This window comes from Homo sapiens, chromosome 6 (assembly GCF_000001405.40).
Source record: "Homo sapiens chromosome 6, GRCh38.p14 Primary Assembly".
Classification (NCBI taxonomy): domain Eukaryota; kingdom Metazoa; phylum Chordata; class Mammalia; order Primates; family Hominidae; genus Homo; species Homo sapiens.
The window spans coordinates 82944884-82957576 of record NC_000006.12 but is presented as its reverse complement, the minus strand read 5'-3'; the positions used below and the strand labels follow the sequence as shown (position 1 = coordinate 82957576).

At 38.3% G+C, this 12693-nt stretch overlaps 1 protein-coding gene across 14 annotated transcripts in view; it reads left to right on the top strand.

The window, feature by feature from the left end:
• The window catches only part of UBE3D (ubiquitin protein ligase E3D), a 185040-nt gene that overhangs the window by 108265 nt on the left and 64082 nt on the right, over positions 1–12693 (top strand). For 12 of the 14 annotated variants that reach the window (NR_146809.2, NR_146808.2, NR_146807.2 and 9 more), the window contains one exon: positions 127–265. Coding sequence is in view for 11 of the 14 variants with exons in the window: in XM_017011458.3 (XP_016866947.1) it covers positions 127–265 (139 nt within the window). In the remaining 3 variants the exon portion in view is untranslated. Of the gene's footprint in view, positions 1–126; positions 266–1109; positions 1238–1705 lie in introns of those variants that run through there. The other 2 variants (XM_017011459.3, XM_011536241.4) reach the window with 2 other exon arrangements.

Here is a 12693-nt window from a genome sequence, read left to right as displayed (position 1 = left end):
ATAGTTTATTTCTAGTTTTTGTACTTTGCCTTTTTCTCTCACAATTGAGTTTTCTTCTTTCATATCAGATTTTTAAAATAATTATGATAATGCATTTTTGAAAGTTAATGTGTTGGTGTGTTCCAGACTTGTCAGCTTGTGGGAAAGTGACATCAGCGTCCACCCGCTAACCCTGCCCTCTGCAACCTGCTTGGAGCTGCTGTTGATATTGTCAAAGAGTAATGCCAATCTGCCTTCATCCCTTCGCCGTGTGAATTCCTTTCAGGTGAGCAATGGCTTCTTTTCTAGGCCGTGATTTCTCAGTTTTACTTGGAATTATTTTTTAAGGATCCTCTCTTTCACAGGAGATAGCCCGTGGAATTCCCTAGTTTCAAATCATAACAAGCATAATGCATGTATTGCTTTGTCTATCTGTTTTTTGTTTGTTTGTTTGTTTGTTTGTTTTTTGGAGGCAGAGACTCTCTCTGTTGCCCAGGCTGGAGTGAAGTGGTGCAATCTCGGCTCACAGCAGCCTCCGCCTCCCAGGTTTAAGCAATTCTCATGCCTCAGCCTCCCGAGTAGCTGGGACTACAGGTGCATGCCACCACACCTGGCTAAATTTTTGTGTTTTTAGTAGAGACAGGGTTTCACTGTATTGCCCAGGCTGGTCTCGAACTCCTGAGCTCAGGCAATCTGCGTGCCTCAGCCTCCCAAAGTGCTGGGATTACTGGCATGAGCCACCGCATCCGGCCTTTGTCTATCTCTTTTTAAATAAATGAACAAACAGATGCTCAGAATTGACTACGTAATTGTCTAGTTGTGGCAGAACTCACAGCTGTATAACTCCAGGCTTTCTCTCCAGCTCCCATCTTGCCTCTGGGAAATGGCAAGAAGATCAGGTAGACACTTGTGAATGCCACCTCCCTTCTCCCAAGTTTGCAGGAGACCCAGGAATCTTAACCATTATTAGTGGCTTTGCTGCTGTTAGCCTGAAGTCAAATTGCCAAATGGATGTTTAACAGGATTGGTCTATTTAACAGGGTTCTACTTTCTGAGCCATTTCCCTCTCTCTCCTTAGCCCTCTCCCTTATCACTTCCCTACTGCCCTTGATATTTATTTGTTCTCCTAGTCTAACTCAGTTCTGCAAATGTAGACTGGCCAGCAAGATGACCAACAGGAAGACCCCCCGCCTCCCTCGCAGTCAGCTAATTGTCAAATGAGTGTCAAATGAGAATTAAATGTTAACTTGTGGCTTAAGTTGTGGCCCTATCACTACTATATGTAATTGCACATATCTGCGACTCTTGACAATGGGAAAATACGAGCCCTCGGATGCTGGTGGGAATACAACCTACGTTGCTGAGAAATAAATAAACATGGGTTGTTTCTACTTCTGAAGGGTTATTAATGTATCCTAAGAAAACTTCAGGAGCATTGTATATTGCTTTGTACCTCTGTTATGTGGTAAAACAAGATGTGGATTTTCCTATGAATCATACCTCAAGAAATGGAGAGAAAAAAACTGCTCCAATCTTATTTACATTCCTCTCCTCTTGGAAATCTGTTACATGGATTGTCTCCGTGATGCTCTTCCTCTTTCTGAGCCTCAGGCACTCATAGAGTACAGTCTTTGGTCTTAGCATGCCTATTTATATTTGCTGCCCATTGGTCAACTCCAATCCTGGTGTCTCAAAGGACCTTAAAGAACATCTTCTCATTTTGTAGGAGAGGAAATTGAGATCTGGAGCAATGGATTGAATTGGCCAGGAAACACTCAGTGGGTCAGAGACCAAACTGGACTCACTCACCAGGATTACTCCATCTGCCACCAACTGCAGTGCCCACTAAGGTCCTGGGGGTGGAGTGAGTGTGAGTGGTGGGTGGAGGCAGGTTATTAGATCTGCCTTGGAATGTCCACAGCCTCCCCTTATTTTGCAGTAGTTTGTATTTATTTTATTTATTCATACACTGCCTTAAACCAGATATGACTTAAAATTCTGTCTATCCATATTTCTTTAAGTTCTGCTTATGGGATTGAATAATGCAAAAGTTTGTATATGCCCACAAATGTTCATGGAGGGAGAGACAAGAAACTTAACAGTGGTTATCTTTGAGGAGTGAAGCTGAAAAACAATAGTTTTATATTTCACTCCTTCCCTCATGTACTGTTTGAAATTTGCATGCCATGGGTGAGTGGGCAGCAAGAGAAATGACTCTGACTTAAAGGATTTTACGGCGTATTGGGGGAAATAGAACAGTCATCCATGGATGATTTAACTTGAGAGGAATTTTATTACAAAGTAGCCTCAACACAAGTCTTAAAGAAATTAAAAGTAAAAGAGTAATCTAAACCAAATATGGGAGGTTTGGGAGGAAGACCAATCTATATTTCTTCCCTGTGAGACCCAGAAGGCCTTGCCCCCTTTAAGGATGTCATTTCAATCTCATGGAAACACAGGTGCATGAAGCCTGGCCTGCAATTGGCGGCATTAGTGTGGTCTTAGCACCTTTAATTAGAGGAGCTCTTAGAGCGGTCTGAATGTTAATTACTCAATGCCCTTTTCTATTGGTGATTGTACTTCATGTGGTTTTAGTCCCTTTTCTGAATATTATTGTCAGAAACACACATGCTTTTCCAGTTTCACAGATACAGAGAAACTTGACAGAATCTTATGAACTGGTTTGGTCCCTGCTGTCACCCCTGGAAAGATGTATTCTTATAAGGAACATACCAGGAATCATCTTCCCTACCCAGGTCTTCACTCCAAGATGAAGGATCAGTGAAAATGGGAAAGTGTGTGTCAGGATTAGAAAGAGATGCTCTGCTTTTTCATCTTTGTACCACCCACTTCATCATTTATTATAATGGCGAGGAATGGCGCTTCTAATTTTGCCTGTGTTTAGGATTTTTTTTAAATTGGAAATTCACTTTCATGCACATTTTTTAAGAGCTATATTGGCAAGAGCTATAAAATAGCAGAATGACACTTGTTAAAGTTATCTTTACATTTCCAATTCTCTTACTTTTCTGGCTGAGTCACTGTGAGCAGTGCTTCTTTTTCTGTAAAGCTGTCATTTTAGGATTCTCTTGGTGCTCCTGCTTGAGCTGTTATCACTGCTGAATCTCAAAAAGAAGAGTTTATCTTATTAATTAAAACAACATAATATGAAATTCTAACTTCTTAAATTACATTGTAACATTTCTCTCAGGCCAACAGGGATCTCTTTTGGTGGTTTTGTTATAAATATAGCTTCCACTCTGTTATAGTACCTTACTATTTCTAATGCAATTATAAGCCAACAAAATGTAGGATTTGATTGAGATTCACTGACATATTGCTAAGCATATACTAAGTTGTTGCAGTGGTCCCAAGAAGATGGATGGACTTATCATTCCTTATCATGTCGCTTCCTGCTTAAAATTCTTCCATGGCATCCTGTTGCAATGAAAATAAAATCCAAACTCCTTATCTTGGCCAATAAGGCCGGGGAACATCTTGGCCCTGCCTCCCTTTCTGACCTCATCTCTGGCTCTCTCACTCTCACTCTGCTCCAGGCACACTGGCTCTATCTCCCTGTCCTTATCACGAGCTGGTTCTGGCTGTAGGATCTGTGGACTGGCTGTTTTCCCTGCTACTGGGAGAATACTCTGCACCAGGTCTTTGCATGGCCACCTGCTTCTTGTCGTTCAGGTCTCAGTTCAGGTATCCCCTCTGAGGAGAGGCCCAACCTGACCCCCCTTCTTCACATCACCATTACTCTGTAATCTTACCTTGTTTAATTTTCTTCATAGCACTTTCCACTATTTGATCTTGTTCATTTATTTGTTCACCTTTTTCCTCTACTAAAATATGTGTTGACTGAATGAATGGGGGAATGTCTGTTTTTGTTCAATATTGTGCCAACAGAACTTAGTATAGTGCCTGGATGTAGGAAGAAGTTAATAAATATTGGATGGCTGGCAAGATGGCTGGATGGGTGGATGAAGGCACAGTTAAAATGCAGATGGACACAGCCATGTGACATTCTAGAAATCTAAAAGACTGAGCTGGGTTACACAGAGGTACGTACAGTATACACTCAGGGCAGAAGCAGCAGCCCTTTCTCTGCTGGGGCAGTGCTAGACTCAACAGATAAGGTCTGGATTTAAGATATGTCAGCAAAGTTGAGCACAGATGGGTATCCACATTGAAACTGCAACCTGGTGTTTTGTACAAATGAGAAAAACTCGAAGAAGAGTTCAGCCCTTAGAAAGAGCTGGCAGGATTCAGATAAGCAAAGTGATCAATATATAGGATGGGACTCTCTGGGTACTGGAGACCACAGTACCACAGTAGGGAATATGGGAATGATGCCCAACTTTTGTGCCAGAAACCAACGCAGTAGGCATTAGAGGTGCAGAGGTGTCCTCTGGAGGAGGCAAGTTGCAGCCTGTTGACGTCATTGCCGTTGCTAGTTTATTTCACTCTGTGTGCTTCAGAACTCTGGGGTTAGGTGGCACAAGGCCATTTCTATACCCATCTTGCTGGGCAGCAACCAGCTCTTAACCTGAAGTCCTGCAATGGCAGCTTTAAATATAGGTAAGATGTCTGGAAGGTAGAACCTTAAAAGCAATCAGGTTGGAACCAGGACTGGGCAAGAGCTGCTGGTTTTAATGGCAACTATGTATTTTTCCTAGAATCCTGGCCTATTGCAACTAGAAGGAATAACTAGTCTAATAATCTTATTTTTATAGATAAGGAAACACATACCCAAGAATGTTAAGTTGATATTGGAGACTGAAATTCTGATTTCTTAGTTGTGCTTTTTGTGCTACAGAGACTATGTTGACTTCTCTTTGGGTAGAGAGGGGATTTTTCTATACTTAGCATTTCTCTGCTCCAAAGTAGCTCACACCTGTAATACCAGCACTTTGGGGGCTGAAGCAGGAGGATCACTAGAGCCTAGGAGTTCAGGTCCACCCTGGGCAACATAATGAGACACCATCTATGTAAAAAATTAAAAAATTAGCAGATGTGCTGGCATATGCCTGTAGCTCCAGCTACTCAGAAGGCTGAAGTAGGAGGATTGCTTGAGCCCTGGAGGTCAATCCTGCAGTGAGCCATGATTGTGCCACTGCACTGCAGCTTGGGTGAGAGTGAGACCCTATCTCAAAAAAAAAAAATTAGATATTAATAATCAGATAATAATATAAATTATAATAGCTAATTTTTTTTAGTTCTTTCTGTTTTCCAGGTACCGTTCTCAGTGATTGGTACTTAGTAGCTCATTTCATTTTCATGATACCTCCATAAGGAAGGTATATTATTGTTTACATTTTACAGGTGCAGAAACTGAGCACAGGTGCACAACATTCCCAAGCTCACACAGCTAATAAGTAGAGGAACATGAAGTACAAGGCCTGGCTCGAGAACCCCTATTCTTAACCACTAAATAATGTTAACCTCTTTTAATAAGGTTGGTTAAACAAAGTAAGATGTTTTTAAGTGGCATGACTTGTCAGCCCCTTGCATGTGCTTAAGGGGTAGTGTGATCCTCCTAGTTGAGGAACATAGTAAACAGTATTTCTCAAATGTACTTGATAGCAGGGAGACTTTTTCTAGGGGCATTTTATGGGATTAATGTTTGCAGAATACAAATGGGGAGACACTGTTCTATCTCTAAAGACCCTTATGTACATTCTTAGTGGCAGCCTTCCTTACCTCCACAAGAAGTAGTGCTGCAGTTTTAGAGGCTGATTGTCAGGAGGATACCATCTCTTTCTTTTGAGACTAGATGGTCGTCCTTTTGGTCAGGGCCTCTTTGGTCAGAATGGCACAGTAGGAACAAGATCTGCCTTTGGCATTCCTTGGTACACACTGAATCAAGCCTGAGGCCCAGAAGTCCTCTGGCTGAGCATTGCTTTCCCACCCTGTACCTGTTCCCAGTTCTATTTCAACTGGCACTCATCCACTCTGTACACTGCATACCAAAGTAGTAACGTGGCAAAGGGTTCTACTGGTAGATTAAGCCCTCTGGCTAAACTCTGCCTCTCCCCTAACTTAAGGATTGACTCTCACTGAGAATGCTCCAGAAGAGTCTTCCTTGGAAAATATACTCAACTAGGATAAGGAAGGAGTGTTTCATAGCCTTGGTCCCTGAGTGGAGGAAACCCTTCCTGTTTATTCCCACATCTTACCTCATTAACTCCAGCTCCAACCAGCTGCTCCAGGCTATCTAAATGGTATGGATAGAATTTTTAAGGACATAGCCCCAGGTTAATGACAGAATTCTAAACAATTTTAGATGTTTTCACAAACACTTGCCTTTTTCAGATCCTTGCAATTCCTATTTTGTTTATTCTTAATTTTTATGGGTACATAGTAGGTATATATATTTATGGGTTACATGAGATATTTTGATACAGGCATACAATGCATAACAAGCACATAAGGGTAAATATGGTATCTGTCACCTCAAGCATTTATGCTTTGTGTTACAAACAATCCACTTATACTCTTTTAGTTATTTTTAAATGTACAATTAAATTACTCTTTACTATAGTCACCCTGTTGTGCTAGCAAATATTAGATCTTATTCTTTCTTTTTTTTTTTTTATCCATTAGTCATCCCCACTTCCCTCATCCCTCCACTACTCTTCCCAGCCTTTGGTAACCATCTTTCTACTCTCTGTCTCCATGAATTCAGTTGTTTTAATGTTTAGATCCCACAAGTAAGTGAGAACATGCAAAGTTTGTCTTTCTGTGCCTGGCTTATTTCACTTAACATAATGACCTCCAGTTCCATCCATGTTGTTGCAGATGACAAGATCTCATTGAGTTTTATGGCTGACAAGTATTCCATTGTGTGTATGTGCCACATTTTCTTTATTCATTCATCTGTTGATGGACACTTCGGTTGCTTCCAAATCTTGGCTCTCGTAAATAGTTTTGCAATAAACATGGGAGTGCGGATATCTCTTTGATATACTGATTTCTTTTCTTTTGGGTACCTACCTAGGAGTGGGATTGCTGGATTGTGTGGTAGTTCTTGAACTCCTGACCTCAAGTGATCCACCTGTCTCAGCCTCCCAAAGTGCTGGGATTACAGCTGTAAGCCACTGTGCCCAGCTGGTAATTCTATTTTTTGTTTTTTGAGGAACCTCCAAACTGTTCTTCATACTGGTTGTACTAATTTACATTCCCACCAACAGTGTAAGAGAGTTCCCTTTTCTCCACCTCCTTGCCAGCATTTGTTAGCCTGTCTTTTGGATAAAAGCCATTTTAACTGGTGTGAGATGATATCCTGTTATAGTTTTGATTTGCATTTCTCTGATGATCAATGATTTTAAGCACCTTTTCATATACTTGTTTGCCAATTGTGTATATTCTTTTGAGAAATATCTACTCATATCTTTTGCCCATTTTTTAATCAGTTGATTAGATATTTTCCTATAGAGTTGTTTGAGCTCCATATGTATTCTGGTTATTAATCTCTTGTCAGATTGGTAGTGTGCAAATGTATCGTTCCATTCTGTGAGTTGTCTCTTCACTTTGTTGATTGTTTCCTTTGCTATGCAGAAACTTTTAATTTGATGTGATCTCATTTGTCCCATTTTACTTTAGTTGCCTGTGCTTGTGGGATATTACTCAAGAAATCTTTGCCCAATTCAATGTCCTAGAGAGTTTCCCCAATGTTTTCTTACAGTAATTTTGTAGTTTGAGGTATTAGATTTAAGTTTTTAATCCATTTTTATTTGATTTTTGTATATGGTTAGAGATACGGGTCTAGTTTCATTCTTCTGCATATGGATATCCAGTTTTCTCAGAACCATTTATTGAAGAGACTGTCTTTCCCCCACTATATGTTCTTGGCACTTTTGTAAAAAATGAGTTCACTGTAGATGTATGGATTTGTTTCTGGGTTCTCTATTATATTCCATTGGTCTGTGTGTCTGGTTTTATGCCAGTACCATGCTATTTTGGTTACTATAGCTTTGTAGTATAATTTGAAGTGAGGTAATGTGATTCCTCCAGTTTTGTTCTTTTTACTCAGGATGGCTTTGGCTATTGTGGGTCTTTTGTGGTTCCATATAACTTTTAAGATTTTTTTTTTCTATTTCTGAAGAATGTCATTGTTTAGGCAGTGATTGCATTGAATCTGTAGATTGCTTTGAGTATTGTGGACATTTTAACAATATTGATTCTTCCAGTCCATGAACATGAAATATCTTTCCATTTTTTTGTGTCTTCTTCAATTTCTTGCATCAATGTTTTACAGTTTTCATTGTAGAGATCTTTTATTTCCTCAGTTAAGTAAATTCCTAAGTGATTTTACTCTGTTTGTAGCTATTGTAAATGGGATTATTTTTAATTTATTTTTCAAATTGTTCCCTGCTGGCTATGGAAATCCTAGTGATTTTTGTTTATTCATTTTGTCCCCCGCAACTTTACTGAATTTGTTTATCAATTCTAATAGTTTTTCATTGAAGTCTTTAGGTTTTTCTAAATATAAGATCATATCATCTGCCAACAAGGATAACTTGATTTGTTCCTTTCCAGTTTAGATACCCTTTATTTCTTTCTCTTGTCTGATTGCTATAGCTAGGACTTCCAGTACTATGTTGAATAACAGTGGCAGTGGGCATCCTTGTCATGTTTCAGATCCTAGAGGAAAGACTTTTAGTTTTTCCCCATTCAGTATGATACTAGCTATGGGTCTATCATATATGGCTTTTTTTTGTGTTGAGGTATGTTCCTTCTATACCCAGTTTTGTAATGGTTTTTATCATGAAGTGATGTTGAATTTTTCCAGATGCATTTTTAGCACCAACATTAATTGAAATGTTTATGTGGTTTTTGGCCTTCATTCTGTTGATATGATATCTCACACTGAGTGATTTGTATATTTTGAATCATACTTGTATCCCTGGGATAAATCCTACTTGGCCATGAAGAAATATCTTTTTAATGTGTTATTGAATTCAGTTTGCTAGTATTTTATTGATAATTCTAAATCAATATTCTTTAGAGATAATTGGCTTGTAGTTTTCTTTTTTTAATGTGTCTTTGTCTAGTTTTGGTGTCAAGGTAATACTTCTGGCCTCCTATAATGAGTTTGGAGGTATTCCATTCTCTATTTTCCAGAATAGTTTGAGTAGAAGTGGTATTAGTTCTTCTTTAAATGTTTGGTAGAATTTGGCAGTGAAGCCATCAGGTCCTGGGCTTTTCTTTACTGGGGAACTTTGTATTATGGCTTCCATCTCATTTGGTCTGTTCAGGGTTTTTTCATGGTTCAGTTTTGGTACATGGTATGTGTCTATGAATTTATTCATTTCTTCTAGATTTTCCTATTTATTGGCATATAGCTGCTCATAGTAGCCATTAATGATCCTATGAGTTTCTGCAGTATCAGTTGTAATTTCTCCTTTTTCATCTCTGATTTTATTTATTTTATTTATTTATTCTCTCATGTTTTCGTAGTTATTCTGGCTAAAGATTTGTCAATTTTGTTTGCCTCTTCAAAAAAACCAACATTTTGTTTCATCGATCTTTTATATTGTTTTCTTCATTTCAATTTCATTTATCTCTGTTCTGATCTTTACTATTTCTTTTCTTCTACTAATTTTGAGTTTGGTTTGGTTTGCTCTTGCTTTCCTAGTTCTTTAAGATGAATCATTAGGTTGTTTATTGAAGGTTTTTCTTCTGTTTTGATGTAGGCACTTATAGTTATAAACTTCCCTCCTAGAACTACTTTTGCTGTATTCCATAGGTTTTGGTATATGTGTTTCCATTATCATTTGTTTCAAGAAATTTTTCAATGTACTTTTTAATGACTTCATTGACCCACTGGTCCTTCAGGAGCATATTGTTAATTTCCATGTATTCGTATAGTTTTCAAAATTCCTCTTGTTATTGATTTAAGGTTTTATTCCATTGTGGTCAGAGAAGATGCTTGATGTTATTTCAATGTGTTTTGAGTGTTTTAAGACTTATTTTGTGACGTTAACAGAAGGTCTGTCATTGAGAATGATCTGTGTGCTGAGAAGAATATGTATTGTTCAGCACCATAAGATAGGGCAAGAAAAAGAAAAGAAAAGAAAAGAAATTAAAAATTTAAAAAATATGTATTCTACAACCATTGGATGAAATGTTCTGTAAGTATCTTTTAGGTTTATTTGGTCCATAGTGCAGATTAAGTTTGATGTTTCTTTGTCTGTTTTCTGTCTAGAAGATCTGTTGAATGCTGAAAGTGGGGTGTTGAAGTCTCCAGTTATTATTTTATTGGAGTTCATCTCTTTCTTTAATAATACTTTCTTTACATATCTGGGTGCTCCAGTTTTGGGTGCACATATATTTACAATCATTATATCATTTTGCTGAATGGACCCTTTTATCATTATATAATGACCTTCTTTGTCTCTTTGTATAGTTTTTGTCTTTAAATCTATTTTGGATGATATAAGCCTAGCTACTTTGCTCTTTTTTGGTTTCCATTGACATAAAATATATTTTTCCATCTTTTTATTGGAGAGTTTACTTATATTCAGTGTTGTTATTGATAAGTAAAGGCTTACTCCTGGCATTTTGTTATTTGTTTCCTGGTTGTTTTGTGGTCTTCTCTTCCTTCTTTCCTTCCTGTCTTGCTTTTAGTAAAGGTGATTTCCTCTGGTGGTATGATTTAATTTCTTGCTTTTTTTTTTTCTGTGCCTGTTGTATGATTTTTGTTAACATGAGGTTTGCAAAAACTATCTTATAATTCATTATTTTAGGCTGATAACAACTAAACCCTGCTTGCATAAACAAACAAGCAAAAAGAAAACTAATAAAAACTCTACACTTTAACTTTGTCCCCCACTTTTTAATTAACTTTTTAATTTTTGTTGTTTCTGTTTATATCTTATTGTACTATGTCTTGAAAAGTTGTTGTAGTTATTTTTGATTGGTTAATCTTTTAGTCTTTCTACTTAAGAGTAGTTTACATACCACAGTTACAGTGTTATAATAGTCTGTATTTTTCTGTGTACTTATTTTTGCTGGTGAGTTTTGTACCTTCAGATGATGTCTTATTGCTCATGAACATTCTTTGCTTTCTGATTGAAGTCCTCTCTTTAGCATTTCTTCAAGGACAGGTCTGGTGTTGAAATTCCTCAGTTGTTGTTTGTCTGGGAAAGTCTTTATTTCTTCTTTGTGTTTGAAGGATATTTTCTCCAGATATACTACTCTAGGGTAAATTTTTTTTTTTCCTTCAGCATTTTAAATAGGTCATGCCACTCTCTCCTGGCCTGTAAGGTTTCCACTGAAAAGTCTGCTGCTAGGTGTATTGGATCTCCATTGTATGTTATTTGTTACTTTTCTGTTGGTGCTTTTAGGCTCCTTTCTTTATTCTTGACCTTTGGAAGTTTGATTATTAAATGCCCTGAGGTACTCATCTGTGGAATCTGGTTGGTTTTCTGTAACCTTCTGGTACTTGGATATTGATATCTTTCTCTAGGTTTGGGAAGTTCTCTGTTATTATCCCTTTGAATGTACTTACTTCCCTTATCTCTTTCTCTGCCTCCTCTTTAAGGCCTGTAACTCTTAAATTTGCCCCTTGAAGGCTATTTTCTAGATCTTGTATGTATGCTTCATTCTTTCATTATTCTTTGTGTTTTTATCTCCTTTGACTGTGTATTTTCAAATAGCCCACTAATTCTTCTGCTTAATCAATTCTCCTATTAAGAGACTCTGATTCAATCTTTAGTGTGTAAGTTGCATTTTTCTACTCCAGAACTTCTTCTTGATTCTTTTTAATTAGTTCAATCTATTTGTTAAATTTATCTGATAACATTCTGAATTCCTTCTCTGTGTTATCTTAAATCTCATTGAATTTCCTCAACACAGCTATTTTGCATTGTCTGTCTAAAAAGTCGCATACCTTTCTTTCTCCACCAGGATTGATCCCTGGTGCCTCATTTAGTTTGTTTGGTGAGGTCATGTTTTTCTGGATGGTCTTCATGTTTATTGATGCTTGTCAGTATCTGGGCATGGATATTGAAAAGTTAGGTATTTATTGTAGTCTTCACATCATGGGCTTGTTTTTACCTGTCCTTCTTGGGAAGGCTTTCCAGGCATTCAAAAGGACTTGGGTGTTGTGATCTAAGTCATATCTGTATTAGGAGACTGAAGCCTAGTAATTGTGTTATTCTTGGAGACTCATAGACTCATACTGGCATGATGGTCTTAAATAAGATCCAGAATACTTCTCTGGATTACCTGGCAGACTCTTCTCTTCCCTTACTTTCTTCTAAACAAATGGAGTCAGTCAGTCTCTCTTTCTCCCTCTTTTTCTCTCTCCCTTTCTGTCTGTCTATCTGTCTCTGTGCTGAGCCACCTGGGGCTGAGGTGACACAATCGCCCCTGTGGCCACCATCACAAAGACTGCTCTGGGTCAGACCTGAAGCCAGCACATCCCTGAGTCTCACCCAGTGTCCACTGTAACCAATACTTGGCCAACACCTATGTTTGCTCAAGGCCCTAGGGCTCTACTATCAGCAGTTGGTAAAGCCAGCAGCCTTGTGTTCTTCCCTTCAGGGTGGCAATTTCCTCCGGCCACTGGGTGGGTCCAGGGATGCCATCTGAGAGCTATGGGCTAGAGTTAAAAACCTTAGCAGTCTACTTGGCATTCTATTCTAATGTGGCTTAGCTGGTCCTTGAACCATGATAAACAGTCCTTCCCACTCTTCCCTCCCCTTT